We start from the raw sequence: 17,529 nt of genomic DNA on the forward strand, positions 1-17,529 counted from the left end.
CATGGACTATTTAATATTTGAATTTATTCTGACCTATTGTCATGAGATTGCTTATCAAATAGGTGTTCTATGTTCCCATAAAAATGACTGAGGCTATTAAGATTCAAATCATTGAGAGGAGAAGAAAATCTCAGATTTTAACTTAAATGAAAAAGAACTAATTTAACCTTTTATTTTATCTTTCTTTAATATATTACATTGAAATAGAGAAAGAGGGTGGAAGAAGCCTTCCAGAATAAGGAAGATAAAATCTTACTGAATAGCAGGGGAATATAATACTAGTTCTTCTTTCCTCCCTGGTGTGGAAAGGGGGACATGTGGGCCGTTTTGCTGCCATGGAAACCAACCAAGGTATGTGGGAGGGGGAGGGAAGGCCCCTTTGAGGCCCATCCTCCCCTTCTTGGAACTTAAATATCTTTCTTACTTTTCTCAGAGTTAAAGTGTTCTAGTCAGGAGGTGATCTTCCCAATGGCAAGAGGGGTGTGTGTGTGTGTGTGTGTGTGTGTGTGTGTGTGTGTGTATTTTATTTGAGTTCCAATTTGCCTTCTTTCCTACTTTACCTTTTAAATCTAGTGATTCTGGCTGTCTTTAGTCTAGACTTACCCAGAAGGAAAGTTGACAGTTAAAAACAAAACAATCGTTGAGCATATATTGGGTATCAGCACAGCCTTCTGTTGTGGGGATGCACGGACTGCAAGATATCTAACACATCACATAGAGTCACTAGATACAAACTCTCTGTTATGCTAAGTTATATCTGTCCTGTTCCTATTTCCATACTCAGAGATCTCTTAGAAAATAAGCAGCTCAAAATGAATTTCCTCTCCTCTTTAATTCAGAGGATGTTTCTGAGCCACAGTTCTCTTTAATTTTTAAAACTGAATATTAAAAACTGTCATCCCCAACACAGATGCAGAAGCCTCTCCTCCTGGGTTTGCTATTTCTTTACAATCCTATGTCACAGGCATCCACCTTTCCTCTTCTTCCTTCCCAGTCCTTTCTAAGCTGCAGTGGAAGGCGAAGGAGCAATGAACCAGGTATTTGGAAAGCTGGTGAGCATGCCAGTCTGTTTTTCTGGAAGGATGTTATAGGAGAGAAGAGATCAGCTTGGTAGAAATGTGCTGCTGTGGATGGTAGGAAGTTCCCGTCACAGGAAGCATCCTAGACTAGGTTGGACAATCTCAGAGGAGGAGTTGGATTAGATGCCCAGTAATCTCATTTTTTAAAAAATAAGCATTTTATTTTTTAGAGCAGTTTAAAGTTCACAGCAAAACTGAGCAAAAGGTGCAAAGATTAGCCCTCTCCCCACCAATCTCTCCATTATCAACATCCCACACCAGAATGGTGCATTTGTTACAGTCCATGGATCTACATTTACATGTCACCATCACTCAAAGACCACTCTACATGACTCTACGTGAGAGTTCACTCTTGCTATACATTCTATGGGGTTGGATAAATGTATGACAAGTATTCACCATTGTTGTATCATACAGAGTATTTTCACTGCCCTAAAAATCCTCTGTGCCCTGCCTGTTCACCCCTCCCTCCCCAGATTTCCCGGCAACCACTGATCCTTTTACCACAGTCTTACCTTTTCCAGAATGTCATATACTTGGAATTAGACAGTATGTAGCCTTCTCACATTGGCTTTTCTCACTTAGTGATACACACTTAAAGTTCTTTCCTGTCTTTTCATAGCTTGATAGCTCATTTCTTTTTAGTGCTAAATAATATTCCATTGTCTGGATGTACTAATATCCTTATGTTAATTTCTAGAGATTGCAGGATAGCACTGCTAGGGTATCCACAGAGATGAAATAAAAAGGATGTAACAGCCTGATATCTGTGACTTCTACTGAGAATGAATGGCTGAGTTTCAGAGTTCTGAATGAGGAACATTGCTGATGCTAGGGAGTCAACCTCAGCATGGCTTGTGTGGAGCCCATGACTCTGTGCAAACAGGATGTGGGAGGGCTTGTGCAGTCCAATGACAGAGATGCAGCACAAACCAGCTGAATCTAAACAGGGACTGTATTGACTCCTGTAACTTGGGGTAAGTCTGCATTTTCAGGCATGGTTGAATGTAGGGTGGGAAAAGGTGCTATCAGGGTCCTGGCTGTCTCTGCCTCTCAATTGTCTTTTCTTCCGGGTTGGCTTCATCCTCAGCTGACTTTCCACGAGGTAGCCAAGATGGAGCTCCAGGCTCACTTTCTACCAGCCAGTTGACACCAGCGCGAATGAAGCAGCTCTTTCCTAGCAAAACTCTCAGGGATGGATTTAATTGGCCCAGCCGTGAAGGAGTCCCTGTGGTGGACGCCCCTTCTTCCGCAGAATTAGGGATTGGGATCATCATACCACCACCACCTGGGCAATATGAAAGTGGGGCAGGGGAGGTTTCTAAAGGAAAATTGGGAGTGCTCTTATTAAAAGAATGGAAAATGATTCTGAGCAAGGGAGGTCAACAGACGTTCTTTGTAGCCAGACTACAGGAAAACAGTCCAAAAGAGTGGAGATAGGTGTTGATATGGCTTGGATATCTCACTCAAATCTCATGTTGAATCGTATTCCCCAGTATTGAAGGTGGGAGTATTGTGGGAGGTGTTTGGATCAATAGGGCAGATCCATTATGAATGGTTTGGGCCATTGCCTTGGTGATAAGTGATCTCTTGCTTTGGCTGGCACCTCCCCCCCTGCTTTCTCTCTCTCTGTGGCTCCTGCTTTTGCCATGTGATGTGCCTGCTCCCCACTCACCTTCTGCCATGATTGTAAGCTTCCTGAGATCTCCCTGGAAGCCAAGCAGATGCCAGCACTGTTTCCTGTAAAGCCTGTGGAACCATGAGCCAAGTAAACCTTTTTCTTTTCTTTTCTTTTCTTTTTTCACCTTTTTCTTTATAAATTACCCAGTCTCAGGTATTTCTTTAGAGTAATGTAAGAACAGCCTAACATAGGTGTCAATACATACTACATAAAAGCAACGACAACAGTGGTCTTGAATATGGTCTCAAAGCAATCAATTCAAAAAGAACCTCATTATACCCTTTTATAACTGAAAGTTAAATGTCTACTGGGACATGATCTGTCCTTTTCTGGGCCTTTGTGTTGTTTGGGCTGCTAGAGAAGAGTGGAAGAAATGGTGAATTCACACTGAGTTCCTGTCTATCTGTTTCCAGTGTGTCTTCATGTACTGCCAGGACTAGAAAGGTAAACATGACATTTCCTAGACTCCCTTGCAGCTAGAGTAATAGATAAAATGAATTTCATTAATTAGATGTGCTCAGAGATTTGAAAGGCAGAAGCAAGGAGGAAAGATTCTTTCTGCTGCTTGATTGCTTTCTGCTGCCATGCACAATTGAGATATTGGGCTTCTGTGCAGCAACTTTCCAATGTCTGGTCTCTAGCTTTGTGAGTTTTGAGAGAGAATAACAGAGGCAGCCACTGTGTTCCCCTGATTATGGAAGAGGCAGCAGCTTCCTGCGTGGGCCAGTTCTGCAGTGCTGCTCTGGGAGCCATTTCTGCAGGTCCAGCCTAGAGCCTGCTACTCCAGCCCTTCCAAAGACATTGAAAGCAGGTAATTTCCTGTATTAAATCGTCTTCTGCTTAAAACCACTAAAGAGTGTCTGTTTACTGGATCTAAACAAGCAGAGTTGACAAAAGTCTCAAGAAAAAATAAAGTCTGGTTCTTGCTCAAGGCCTGGATGTTCAGAGAGGGCTGATTTGGGAGCAACTCCTGGTGATGTGGGCAGAGGAGCAGCTCATTTGGCTTCCATGCGGGCATGTTCCCATGGAAGAAGGGAGCACCAAGGCAACTTCTGGAGCTTTTCTTATCAATATGAGGGCTCCTCCACAGAAATCACCAGGGCTTTTCTCTCTGTTCACCCATCAGGAACTATCCTCCGTTCCTTTAATTCATTTTCTCAATGTGAGGCCTTTGCTATATTCACTTATGCTTTCATTTATAATCCACAACTATTTACTGAGCACCTATTGGCAAGTGCTATTCTCTTGCGAACTAACCCATCTTGCCCCCTCCTAACTCCCTGCTCCATACTCCCATGTACATGCACACACATACATGCACACTGTACACAACACACAAACTTCTCAACTCCTTCACCACCCCCTCCTTGACTGCCACAACCCAGGTTTTTAGTCCTAGTTTGTGCTTCTGTAATTCCTGAATTTTCCCTATCAAAGTGTTTTCTCACACTGTATTGAAATTGCTCATTCACTTCAGTCTCTCATGCTAAATGTAGCTGCAGGGATGGCAAAGGTTGCATTTCTTATTTGCCACTGTAGACTCAATACCTAGCATAATGTCTGGTATACACATAGCCCAGACATCCAATAAATATTTATTGAATTCATATTCTGGCATTCTAAGGGCTTCCAGGGACTGAATTGTCTGGGCTAAACCTCTTAAGATCAAAGGAAGTGCTAGAAACTCCAGATGCTGAGGTAAAATTGAACCTTGGCAAAATACTTCTTTCTTTTCTTCCCAAACCCCTCCTCATGTTTCAATTCCCCATCCTCATCTCTTTTAGCTTGACAAAAAAAAAAAAAAAAAAAAAAAAAAAGAAAAGGCTCTGTCCCTTGCAGGATATGTAACTTTGGAAGAGTTTTTTAACCCGAGACTTTGCTTTCTCACTTGTAAAATGGAAGCGTAGTGAATTACAGATGGCCACACATTCTTTGACACCATTCCCACTTAAAGATAGGATCGATGTTCCTGCCCCTTGATCTTTAATCTGGGTGGGCTCTGTGACACTTGACCAATAGAACAGAGCAGAAGTGATGCGGTGCCAATTTCCAAGTGTAGGTCTTAAGAGACTAGCAGCTTCTACTTGGTTTCTTAGAATGCTCACTCAAAGGGAAGCCCGTCACCATGTTGTGAGAGAGCCTGAGCTAGTCCCAGCTGTTCTGCCCATTCCAGCTGACACACAGACATATGAACGAAGATACCATCTTGGATGTCCAGCCTAGTTGAGCCTTCAGATGATAGCAGCCCCAGCTGCCATCTGACTGCAACAACATGAGAGACCCTAGGTAAGCACTCCCCAGCTAAGCCTAGTCAACACACAGAACTGCGAGCCACTAAAGTTTGGGGTGGTTTACTAAGCAGCAATAGATAACGGCAACTAGAAGTAATGGTAATACCTACCTCATAGGACTGTTATGAAGGTAAAATGAGATTTTTAAATGCAAAACCCCTGTGTACAACCTAGAATGAAACAAGCGCTCATTATGTATCGTCACTTCTCCTGCCTTGCCTCCTTCCTCTTTTTAACTCTATGAATGTCCCAGAAGGAGAGGTAGGTGGAGTGGAGATGGGCTATATGCTAGGTATTTGGAATTTGAATAGCTCTCTTTTCTTTTTTACATCTTTCTCTTGCTTCTCTCTTTTCTGTGTTCTTTAAAGCATAGCCAGATCATTTAGATCTAAAATAAGAACACCAAATCAAGCCTTTGCGTTGCAGACAGAAAAATCACGGGTTTTGTATGGGCTTATGGTAATGAAAATCAAGCCCAAGAAACTAAATGATTCAAAGCAAAATTCCCCTTGACAGCTTTTGTCATGTCTCTGTGTGTGTGTGTGTGTGTGTGTGTGTGTGTGTATGTTAAACTAGTACTTTAGCCTACATCATTATTTTACCATGTAAGCATGATAGAATAGCAGGCTTTTTGGAGGGGAAAGATTTTAAAAGTACATGGTTACCTGTAATTACAGTCTTGCAAAGTTTGATTTTATAGAAGTGACATTCAAGTCTGATTTAAACCATGCAGAAAGACATGGTGCATATTGGAAATGCTTTTTCTTTCTGACTCAAATGGCTGTTTCGTTCTAGTGATCTCCCTAGAAGTCAGCCTTTTATTATGTTTATTGTAAGGTTGTGTGTCTTTCTAATTACGTGGCCCATCCTAGAAAACTTGCTACCTTGAGATTACCTTTCTATTTCTCCTTGCATTCCTGCAAACACCTAAACCTCTGTAGACAAGAGGTTCATCTCAGAGTCTGAACTGGCTGAGGATCATAAAATTCTGTCAAATACCTGGTCAATTAAGTTCTGGCTGGAAGAGGGGGTCAAATTAGATGACTGACATGTGCGGATAAGGGCACTGGTTTATTTCACATTTTAGCCTTTAATGTGGGTGGGTACACAAAGCCACAGAGTTTGTTGCCATACCCCAACATAAAAGCCTCTGGGACAAGGTTGAAAGGGTAGCGGGGAGAGGGCCTTGGATAGCGGATGGGGTGGTTAACCCGCGACTCTGGTGACATTTTGCCATCAGCCGCTGGTGACATCTTGCCATCAGCTGCAGCTACAGAATGTTGCTCGCAGGAGGAATTTGGCCTGCCGTTGAAGATGTGTTTCTCAGATGAGACTGTAAGGGGCCGGAGCTTGGGATTTTAGGAGTGCAGGGCCCACCTCTTCCTTGGTATCAAGCCACTTAACTAAACTCTTGCGGTGTCTTATGACCAGGGACGAAGTGCGGGGCCCCTTCAGACGTCGCAGCTGGAGTAACTGTTTTCTTTCCATTTCACAGCTCTTGAAGGAGGTGTGACTGAGTGAGGCGCTGGAAAGCTTGTTCTATAATTACTTCTTGATCCGCTTCTAGGCGTGCTGTGCATGCGTCCGACCATGTGTGTTTGCGTTAGCTTGCGCCGTCGACAAGAGCCAGAGAACGTGGGTCTAGGATAAAACGTGGATGATATTTTTGCTTCAAATGTCACATTTTACGGGGGTCTAAAGGTCTTAGGCTGGAGTCTTTGCGGATGATTGCCAACTGTAGCTGAATCTATGAGCTGGGATGTACCCAAGCCAGTGCAATCGCTCCAAATCAGGGCGGGCGGCACTAAGCCGGGGAGCAAACACCGCTCCCGGCCCGCCCAGAGCAGACGCCCTAGGTTGGGGCTGCAGCGAGTGCGCGCGTGGGCTGTGGAGCCGGCGGAGGCAGCGGTCCGGAATGGCTCTGTGGAGGCTGCGCTCTCTTCCTGGCCCCGCAGCCACAGCAGCTGCCCCATGCTCGCGCGGCAGGACCTACCAGGCGCCCACCCTGGGCTGCGCCGCCTCGGACCACCCGCTGCTCCCCTCCGCCCGCTGCCTCTTCTCCCCGCGCCTCACGGGGCTCCGCACTGACTCCAGGCGCCTCCGGGGGCGTCGCGCGCGCGGAGCGGCGCCGGGGGCGGGGCCTCGTGTAGGGCGCCCCGGGATTGGCTGTGGGGAGAGGGGGCGGGGCCGGCCGCGGAGAAAACAGCCGGCGCGCCGCGCGAGTGCAGTCTGGGTCTGGAGCCTGAGCCCTGCGGAACCTCGGCGCTCGGCCCCACCCCGCCCGTACCTGCACTTATTTATTGTTGTTATTTCTTACCGCGGAGCCCCGCAGTCGGGTCCTCCCGCCCGCTCCCGCGCAGCGCTAGCATTCTCCAGTCCCTCAGTCCCTTCCCGCGCGGTGCGCCGCAGCCGAGGCGATGCGCCTCATTCAGAACATGTGCACCATCGCCGAGTACCCCGCGCCGGGCAACGCCGCGGCCTCCGACTGCTGTGTGGGCGCCGCCGGCCGCCGCCTGGTCAAGATCGCCGTGGTGGGCGCCAGCGGCGTGGGCAAGACCGGTGAGTCGTCGCGCTTAGCCCTGGGTCTGGTCTTGGACGACCCCTGACGGGAGTTGAGGCTGAACAAGGCGTGGGGAGCGGTGGGAGCTGCAGCCCGACCGCTCTCCGTCCCCGCGCAGGGAGCCGCTGCCCCTTGGGAGTGGGCTTAGCCGTTGTCTACGCCACCCGCCTGCTTCCACAGACGGGGGAAACAAGGATCAAGAATGGCCAGGCAGCTTTCTGGGGACCACCGGCACCGCCGCCATCAGAACTTTGGGGTGTTTGAGCCTCTGGCAATGCCTGGCACAGAAAGGGGAGTTAGTGAAGCTAGCCCCCCTGGGAGGTCTTGAAGGTTAGGAAGACATGGGTCTACTGGAAGGCTTAGGTGTGGCTCAGCCGGGCTCAGAGGAGGGGGTGGGCCCAGTGAGCCTTCCAGCTGCACAGAGCCATAATTCACGATGCCTTCTAGCCCCCTCCTTTTTGTCTGGAAAGAAGGGTCAAGGAGCTACAGGGTAGGAATTTCACTTGGTGGCCATCTATGGCTTTCTTTGGGAGAACTGTTTTCCAGGCAGGGGGTGGGGTGGAGAACAATCTAACTTCCAAGGTTAACACTTTGACGTTCTTTTTTCTGACGTGCAGCACTGGTGGTCCGGTTCCTCACCAAACGATTCATCGGTGACTATGAAAGAAATGCAGGTGAGACAATGCATTTGAGAAAAATTCTGTCCCATTGCAGGAGGACTGCGGTTCCCATTTTCCAGCGCTTCCCAGGGAGGTTCTTTCAGTGACAGTCCGAGCCTGAGGATCCCGCCACTTAAAACTTTCCCCAGTCCCCAGCCCTCCATGGCGCCCCCCTCCCATAACTACCATCTGGCCTCATTCCATTCCAAGCCCATTCATCATTTTATCAAGTGCCTGAAAGTATTCCCCTTGGTATGTTTTAACTATAGTGACCCCAGTTGGAAGCACCCTTTGTAGTCAAGAACCTCTCCCTTCAAAACACTCCTGCAAAAGTCGTAAAAAAAAAAAAAAGGAGTCCCTAGCTCCTTCCCCCACCCCTCTCCTTCTCTGCTGGCTGCCTTTCAGAGGTGACCTTTTAAAGCAAAGGCCAAAGGAGAGCAGTTGTAAACCTAAAGTTCCTCCTTCTTAACAAAGACAAACAACTGGATGGTAGAATTTTAGGAGGAGAATTCCCGAATAAATGAGAGGACACATTTTTCAATCCTTATGATTAAGAATAGCCACTGGGGAGGCTTAAGAGCTTTCTGCCTATGCTCTGTTAGCAAATTGCTTAACTCTGTAGACCATATGAGTACCTATAGGGGATTATTTGAAATGAGCTGTATAAGCTATCCCAAGATAAGACATGGCAGCCTTCTGATTTGATGTAGAGTTGATTATAATTATATCACATTTTTATTCCAACTGATAACATTGGCTGTGTGTTTACTAACAGTATTTGTCTAGCAAGCCATTATATCTAACGGCCAAAATACAAAGTTACAGTCAAAGAATGAATCAAGTACTCAAGAAAACAGAAACCTCACATAGGCTGAGCAAGATAATTTGCATCAAGGGAGTACTCTAAAAATGGAAACTTTGTTTAAAACTAGATAAATAAGTTTTCAAAAACTTGCAAACTTTGCCCTGGTTTTAATAAATCTAACATAGGGTTAAAATTGCTGTTGTTTTTTAAAAAAAATCTGAAGTAAGCCCACCAAATAGAAATAAACTATCGCTGTTTTGTGTGCATTTATGCATTGTGCATTTTTTTTCTAGCTTAAAACTCACAATGTTTTAAAAGTTGTACAAGAAGGAAGAACATAATCTCTTTTATTTGCCTTCATAGGTAATCTCTATACTAGACAAGTTCAGATAGAAGGTGAAACCCTGGCTCTTCAGGTTCAAGACACTCCAGGTATTCAGGTGAGAAGCTCTGAGACTCTGGGTGAAAGGGGAACCTACTTGGCTGTGGAATCACTCACTTCTTCTCAAAGTTCCTCATGCTGCAGGATCAGAGAAATTTGGGGAGTCACATCTAGACTTTTACATGTCTGACAATTCAATTGTATCTGGCTGTTGGTCGATCTTAGCATGGTTTAGTTTGGGAGATTTGGCTAGGGGGCAGAAATCTTCCTTTAGAAGGATTCAACACAGCCGGAAAGCCCAAACCGAATGCAGTTGGAATTGGTGTTTTCCTTGCTGTGGTTTAAAAGTCCAGTTTTAATATGTGTGTCTTTGGCATGAAAAACCAAGCTTCTGGGTATAGTCTGCAAATACTTGGAATCGCTTTTGTACTGGAAAGTTGCTCTATAGACAAAAGCGCCATGCTAGGGTTTTTCCCCCCGCCTCCTGAACTGGGCAGTTATCCAGGTTTAAATGCTTCCAGCTCCTATCTTTACTTCCCCAGACTTACTGTCTAGCCAGTTAATTTCCCATTTTGTGCAACTACAAAGTCGCTCTGCATGGAGTTCTCTGCAGGTCAATTTTCCACTTGAGTGTGGTAAGCTGCACTGTTATTTATTCCCACTCTGTGCAGCTGGATCAACATATTGTCAAGAAAGCTGAAGTGTGTGGGATATAAGTTGTTTATGGCCCTCAACCTGGCACTACTATGAAGGGCTCTTTTGAATTTGAAATCTACCCAAGCCCAGGCTCTTTGTACAACTGGCCAGCATTCACCTTGCCATCACTCCTCTCTTTCAGGTCCATGAGAACAGCCTGAGCTGCAGTGAACAGCTGAATAGGTGCATTCGCTGGGCAGATGCTGTGGTGATCGTTTTCTCCATCACTGACTACAAGAGCTATGAACTCATCAGCCAGCTCCACCAGCACGTGCAGCAGCTACACCTGGGCACCCGGCTGCCTGTGGTGGTCGTGGCCAACAAAGCTGACCTGTTGCACATCAAACAGGTTGACCCTCAGCTTGGACTGCAGCTAGCCAGCATGCTAGGCTGCTCATTCTATGAAGTGTCTGTCAGTGAAAATTATAATGATGTCTACAGCGCCTTCCACGTCCTCTGTAAAGAGGTCAGTCACAAACAGCAGCCTAGCAGTACACCCGAGAAGCGAAGAACCTCCCTCATTCCCAGGCCCAAGTCACCCAACATGCAGGACCTGAAGAGGAGGTTTAAGCAAGCCCTCTCTGCCAAAGTGAGGACTGTCACCTCCGTCTGAAGCAGGAGGAGCACTCAAGGGGGTTTGGTCTTCCCAGGAAGAGGGCCTGAGGTTCTCCTAGTGCAGGAACGTTGAATATTGGCAATGATTCCTGGTTCCAGAAAGGGCTGGAGCAGAAGGGCCAAGAGGGCCTGTGGAACTGCTACAGAAAAGGAAGTGTTGTTCTGAGCAGGGGGACAGGATTGATGAGGCTTGAAAGAGCCCACTGAGCCACTCTCTGAATATGTGAAATGTACTCTGTGTCTTTTCCTTTAGAGTGGGGAGGGGGCATAATCGTTTCGGTTTCTGCATTCAACTACCTTGTAAATGGTGGTCCGTTGCAGTTTCACCAAATGTATTGATGTGATTTACAGTGGGAATGAAAGAACAGATTAAGCATTGATAGGCTTTCTTTTTTCCCCCTTTTTTCTTTTTTCTCTTTTCTTCTTTCTTTTCCTCTTTTTCCCCAAGAGGAAGAATTGCTTTTCTCTTACCAGTATGATTTGTAACTCTGGAACACTATTCTTACAGAATGCCTTTCTAACCTGAAGGATACCCAGATTTCTTTCTTTATGTACAAGATGGAAAATCCCCTACCCCTCAAAAACAGGTTGAGTTTATGGGCCAGAATATTTTGTATACCAGACATTGGTAAGCTCTCATGGTTTACAGGAAGGCTCTGGTTCCCCCTCACAGGATGAGCATGCTCAGTTGGGCGTGTGTGGAGGAGCTGTGAACTTCACGCTCTTCAACCCCAGACTTTGACTGTATAGTTTTTTGTTTTTTTAACTGTTCCATCAGGAAAAAAATGTGTCAGTTGATTTTGGTGTGACTTGTGTAAATGGTTCATGGCAATGACGTTGGGTTGCTTCCTAGGCCTGGCTGAGTTGTGCCTAAGGGTGGCTGAAATACTAAAACACTTATCTTACAGCAAGTGAACAGGGGCTACCTGCCACATCCCCTCCACAGATGCACTTTAAAAAGCCACTCATGCTTTGGCTTAAACTGTAATTAATTTATTTTATGTACAATAAATCGCATTTGAAAAAGAGCAGATGTCTAACTTCGTCTCTATTGAAACGTTAACTTTCTGCCGTTTAGACAAAGTATGACCTAGTATCCTGTGATTATTGGGCACATTGAATCTGGCATTGTGCCTTTCAGGGGTTATCTCTCAAGGATCACAGCAATCCAAGGAGGTGCATTCTAGTATTATCCCCATAATACAGATGAGGAAACAGGCTTATAGAACAAGATCAGTAACTTGTCAAAGGCCACAGCCTGTAGCATTGTAAACTGCAATTTGCTGCTTTATATTCAAGAGTAGCTGATCTTCTATTCACTAACTTTGTGGTCTTCCAGGTATACCTAAGACAGATGTCTGGCTCCACATAGTCAGCACAGCCTCGAGCGTATTCTTTCTTGGACACTGAGATGACTGCTTCTTTACACATGCTTTGTTGGCAGACCTCTTCTTTGGGTATGCTGCTTTCAGGAGATTCACTTTATTCTCACTGTAGAAGCTTGCAGTCATTGATCTGGGGCTGTGAAATCAGGAGCCAGTCCCATGGACCTTTGCCACACGTGTCTCGCTAAAGCTGCCAGCTCTCTCATCTATGCCACTTGGGCCTAGAAGCTCTTTCCTGCAAGCTAAGTGAGCCACCATCTACAGGGGGAAATAATCACAGCTGACATTTCTTTGAGTAGTGCTTTCACATACCTGATCTCATTTAAGGCCCAGGAGAACCCAGGAGAATACTGTGGGGTATTGACACCATTTTACAGATGAGGAAGACAGGCTCTAAGTTTTGAGTGATGTCTTCAAATTCACACAAAGGAGCTGAACCAATGCCACCTGACTATATTTACTGTTCTTAGTCTTTTAGAGCATGTCATAGCTAAGACACTCTGGCATGCGTGGGGCGATGGAGCCACAGTGAATAGCAGTTGAGGGGCTACTGTGGGGTGGTGCCAGGATTTCCAATCAGTGTTCCCACAGGGTACAGATCCTCACAGCTGACAGCGTTTCCAGTGATGCCTCAAACCTTCCTAATATGCAAGGTAACTTTCTATGCTTTCAGCCTAACCTCATCTCTGAGAAGGGTGTGTGTGTTGGGGGTGGGCAGGGAAACGGCGCTAACATGGGACTGAAAACATCTCAGTTCAAGGGTAGTGACAAGTATCTCCAACTGGATTCTATTCACTTTTATTTCTATTCAGCCAATGTGGTTGTGTTAACAATGTCCAGTGAGTGAGAGGTTGATCTTTATATATTTACTGAAGAGCCCTTCCCCACATTCTGGAATTAAATAAGAGTTTTCCTGCAGGTGGCTTTATGCTCCCGAGGCACTGAGCAGTGCTGCACTTCAGTGACCACTGCCGCGCCACCGCCCCCTTTTCTTCCCACCAGCTTCCAGGCTGCAGGGCTCTGGCAGCCCTTGTCTGCTCCCTTGCTGAGCTGTGAGCTCCACCTTCTCCCTTCCTGGCCCCGCAGCTAGCGATTGCCCCTTACTTCCTCACCCCTGTACTGGACTCAGTGCCTCCTACTGCACCTTAGACAGGCTGGAAGGGAGCTCAGAGCTCTGGCGCACCCAGAGGGATAAAGTGGCTTGTGCAAGGCCACTCTAGGAGAGAGAGAGTGGGGAGAGAGAGACAGAGAGAGACACACACAGAGGGACAGAGACAGAGTCGCAGCTGGAAACCACCCAAGTCCCCATTCTGTCCACTCTCTCAGGCGGACTTGTCTATTTATAGTTCTGGAACACATTTTTCTCTCTTCTAATAAATCTAGCTTTATGTGGTATTACTTTTGCTCATCTCTTTCCTTGTTGGTTAACTCTTCAATTAATGTTTTTGTTTTGTTTTGTTTTAAAATTTATGATCTACCACCACCTGGCCCTGAGAAACGACTCTCTCCACCTAGGAAGGGGAAAACCTCCTTTGCCACCTTGGAAAGGGAAGGCAGGGATGTGTATGCATCTGGGGTACCGGGGAGCAGAGAAAGGGAAGGAGTTCGAATTTACTGAACATTTAAAACACGCCAGATTCTACGTTATCCCCGTTCATCTTTTGAAGAATCCTGTAAGGAAGGGTAGTAATATTGCTTCTATTTTAAAGATAAAGAAACTGAGGCACAGAGAGATGAAATTTACCTGCTTAGGGCCACATCGGTTATAACAATTATTATTTCTATTTATGGAAAATCTGTGTGCCAGACCCCATAGGAGGGTTTTTGAAATAACTGATGTTTGCTGTGATAGCTCTACAATCCATCTTTAGTCTCCTCTTCAGAAAAGCAAAAGGGAGGCTGAGAAGAATTGGCTGGCCCAGGCCCTAAGGGGCGGATCCAGAACTCCATCCCAGGTCCGTCTGATGCCACTGCCTAAGCCCTGGGCTGATGGCTCAGCAGAGCCCCACCTCGGAGCCCTCCTCTTCCCTCCCCTGGCCAGGTCTCCTGTCCTGCTGTTCTCATCTCCCCTTTGCTACTGTGGGCTCCTGGATTCTGCCGGGCTCCAGGCCCCCCTGGCTGCCAACCACATCTGCTGTTGCCATCAGCCAGCTGCTCACTGGCCTCCAGCCCTGCTCAGTCATAAAGACGTCCAGGCTGGGAGGGGGAGGGGCGTGCAGTCCGGCTGTCTCAGAACCAAATCCACTTCTGTCACGATGTCTGGCTTTTGAGTTTCCTCCCTTGCCTCAAATCAAAAACATTCGCAACACTCTGCAGCCTGCCTGGCGCTGCGTGGTGTGCAGAGAGGGCTCAACCCTCAAAGTCTTCCTGGCTGTTCCCGGCTCCAGCACTCACCAGGCGCCGCAGATCCGGGTTTGCCTGCCCAGCCAGCTCCTAACCCCAGGTTTAGGAGCCATGGGTGTATTTATGGTGAGCCCCTCGCTTTGGTGGAAAATGAGATTTTGACATTCATCTTACACTCCAAGAGGGAGAAAACAAATGTGTTTTCTGGGCAAATGAACAAGTTTGTAGGCACATCCCTCAAAAATGAGCCCCTGATAATCTCTGGTGCTACCTCTGCACCCAGGGGAAATGGGCACTGTCCAGCTGTCTCTGTGGATAACTCATGACAGGTCCCTTGGGGAGTGGCCCAGGATGAATTAGAGAGCTTGTCTGGTTATAATAACCAGGAAAACTGGTGTTGCACAGATTCCCTTTCAAGTCTAAAGAGAGATGGTTCCAGAAAGTTCTTACTATCCTCACTACTCTCCTGAATTTGCAATGAGAATGGGATTAGGGTTATTACTGACTGTGGCAAGATCCCAGCCACCACCCTCCAAGCTTTCCCTCTCAAATAGTTTGCAAACCCTCCATCGTCTGGTTTTGTCTTTTTAAATTCCTTTTAAGACAGAGATGGAGTCTCTTGATGTTTCTTGGGCTGGACAGCAGACATTTGTAATACTGGATTCTGTGTTGTTGAGATTCTGTTTCTGGTAACCAGGGTAAAATAAATAATAGTGGTCTTGGGGGTAGTTTGATGGAATTCTTTGTTATTGGGATCCCATTGTAATGGAGGGGTGGCATAAACAGAGCCATCTGCATAGGGCCCGGCCTGCTAGGGACAACTCTTGGCTGATGTAGCCTGGAGTGCTTCCAACCACTTGGCCGTGCCCATGCCCGCTATGTCTGCCCTGAGGTAGACTCCAGAAGAGGGTTTACAAAGGCAGGAGTCAACTGCTACAAAGTATTTACACTTCTATCAATTATGTTTATAAGGAGTGTGGCCAGTGAGGTCGCTGGCAGAAGGTTTGGATTTGTAAGTGCTTGTTTAGGTGATAAACACTCAGACCCAGGCCCCAGACAGGGGAAACCAGTCTTATCACTCAGCTCAGCCTTTTAAGTCACCATCAGGTGGTTGACAGCTGCTGGATCCCTTTCGAATGGATACATTTGGAGGGGTTGAAATGGGAAATCAGTAAGTCCATCTCAGATTCTGCCTGACTTCGTGGCTAGCATTAGTGATAGAGAAAGTTCTATCACAGACATATGGCCCTGCATGAGCAATCATCAGACATTTATTACCAATAAATTCTTATGTGCTCTGTATGAGCCCACCATGTGCCATGTTCCAAATGCATCACACATATTAACTCTTTTAATTCTCCCCCAACCTAATGTGGCAGGTCCTATTGTTACACAACTGCATGGTCAGCGAAGACCAGGAGAGGTGGACTACGAAGTGGAAGAGGTGGGATTGGAATCCAGCCATCGGATTGGGCTCTTGACCTCTGGGCTATGCTGTCTTGGACCTATGTTGGACCGAGTTGTTATTCCTCCTCCATTTTCTCATCTCCTTGTAGACCCCATGAATGCCTCCAAATTTCCTCTTCATTTAGTATTATTCTCCTGTTGACGTTTTATAGTTTTGAGAGGTAACTTCCTTGGCGTCCTCAGTGTGAAAACCCACATTCCTTGAGATTCACATGCTGGCCACTGTGTTAGGGATGGCTCCACAGCAACCCCCCCATGAGGCAGGTGCCATAGTTATCGTTTCTTACAGATGCAGACACTGAGGCTTGGAGAGATCCACAGTGCTTGGAGTGGCAGAACTGGGACTTAGGCCCAGAGAAGCCTTCAGAGCCCTTTTCTGCCTGCTGCTCCTTCCGGGGGTGGAGGGCATGACTTGCTTCTCCTCCAGCCTCTCCCATGCTGAGAAGTGTGCCCACGAGCCTGGCAGCAGCAGGGAGTTTCCGGGAGGCTCTGCCATGGCCACAGTCCTCCTTCCCCCAAGCCCCCCTCTTTTTCCTTATTTGTTGGAGGCCCTTTGCAGGATTTATACCAAATGTCTATTGTGTTCCTGCTTGTTAATCAAGGAGCAGTGAACGTCCTGTGCCTCCTGCTTCATCTTCACCCAAACTCTGGTTACGAAGAAATTCTTCCAGCTCACCTTTCCTCCAAAGCCTTCCACCACCTGACCACCGGCCTGGCTCAGCTCCTCAAGCCAGCCTCCAGAGAAGAAAAAGATGACCATAAGCCAAACTTCTGACACTTCTCCCACCATTCACAGACTGCCCCTGACCATACTAATTACAGTATGGGGAGCATTTTCAAGACAAAAGAACTGCTGAATAACATTTACAATCAATACCTTCCTCCTTTCATCATTTCAGATTAGAGGCTTCTGAATTTTTTTTTTTTTTTTTTGAAATGGAGTTTCACTCTTGTTGCCCAGGCCAGAGTGCAGTGGTGCGATCTCGGCCCACTGCAGCCTCTGCCTCCCAGGTTCAAGTGATTCTCTTGCTTCAGCCTCCCTACCTGGGATTACGGGCATGCACCACCACACTCGACTAAGTTTGTAATTTTTTTAGTAGAGACAGGGTTTTTCCACGTTGGTCAGGCTGGTCTAGAACTCCCGACTTCAGGTGATCCACCTGCCTCAGCCTTCCAAAGTTTAATATTTCTTAAAATAAAAAATTAATTTGTAAAAATACAGTTTTCTGCTATGGCCGATTAAAGTCACAAAAGTAATACACAAATACACATTTGCTGTAAAAAAAAATAAAATAATACAAAAGTATACTGAGGGTGAGACTCTCCCTTCTCTTAGCTCTCCCATTCGATATTCCTTCCCAGAAGTACCATTATATATGTATTTCCAGAAAGTTTCCTTTGCATATAGACATGCGGTTTACAACTTCACCTTCAGTAGATGCTCACGTCGGGCCAGACCATCAGAGAAGCGCCAGCTACTCATTCTGAGTGCCAGAGAGTCAGGGACGCATCTTGTTCTTTCATCACAGTGGCCCAGAACCTAGCACAGTGCCTGGAACATGGCAG

At 46.5% G+C, this 17,529-nt stretch overlaps 1 protein-coding gene and 1 long non-coding RNA gene across 2 annotated transcripts, besides 4 other annotated features; one reads left to right on the top strand and one right to left on the bottom strand.

Moving 5' to 3' along the window:
- Positions 1-6,109: 6,109 nt before the first annotated feature.
- LOC124900700 (uncharacterized) lies at positions 6,110-7,166 on the bottom strand. Its single transcript, XR_007058115.1, has 2 exons — positions 7,045-7,166; positions 6,110-6,692 (listed from the first exon to the last, which is right to left on the bottom strand). It is a non-coding gene; the product is annotated as an uncharacterized LOC124900700 (long non-coding RNA).
- Positions 6,842-7,331: a silencer, noted in NCBI's record as "silent region_15428". NCBI's record gives its function as "represses an Ori minimal core promoter by ATAC-STARR-seq in GM12878 lymphoblastoid cells {active_cell/tissue: GM12878}" and the evidence as "EXISTENCE:reporter gene assay evidence [ECO:0000049][PMID:35858748]".
- RASL11B (RAS like family 11 member B) lies at positions 7,278-11,796 on the top strand. The gene is made up of 4 exons (NM_023940.3): positions 7,278-7,610; positions 8,229-8,285; positions 9,439-9,515; positions 10,296-11,796. Exons 1-4 carry the CDS (start codon positions 7,469-7,471, stop codon positions 10,764-10,766), a joined length of 747 nt encoding a protein of 248 aa, NP_076429.1. The 5' UTR covers positions 7,278-7,468; the 3' UTR covers positions 10,767-11,796.
- Positions 7,303-7,597: a silencer, noted in NCBI's record as "tiled region #13979; HepG2 Repressive non-DNase unmatched - State 4:PromP, and K562 Repressive non-DNase unmatched - State 4:PromP". NCBI's record gives its function as "represses a minimal TATA promoter and a strong SV40 promoter by Sharpr-MPRA in HepG2 cells, with weaker repression in K562 cells {active_cell/tissue: HepG2 | K562}" and the evidence as "EXISTENCE:reporter gene assay evidence [ECO:0000049][PMID:27701403]".
- Positions 12,680-13,180: an enhancer, noted in NCBI's record as "H3K4me1 hESC enhancer chr4:53733886-53734386 (GRCh37/hg19 assembly coordinates)". NCBI's record gives its function as "activates a minimal SCP1, AML or CMV promoter by ChIP-STARR-seq in naive H9 embryonic stem cells {active_cell/tissue: H9 hESC(naive)}" and the evidence as "EXISTENCE:reporter gene assay evidence [ECO:0000049][PMID:30033119]".
- Positions 13,181-13,681: an enhancer, noted in NCBI's record as "H3K4me1 hESC enhancer chr4:53734387-53734887 (GRCh37/hg19 assembly coordinates)". NCBI's record gives its function as "activates a minimal SCP1, AML or CMV promoter by ChIP-STARR-seq in naive and primed H9 embryonic stem cells {active_cell/tissue: H9 hESC(naive and primed)}" and the evidence as "EXISTENCE:reporter gene assay evidence [ECO:0000049][PMID:30033119]".

Source organism: Homo sapiens, chromosome 4 (assembly GCF_000001405.40).
Source record: "Homo sapiens chromosome 4, GRCh38.p14 Primary Assembly".
Classification (NCBI taxonomy): domain Eukaryota; kingdom Metazoa; phylum Chordata; class Mammalia; order Primates; family Hominidae; genus Homo; species Homo sapiens.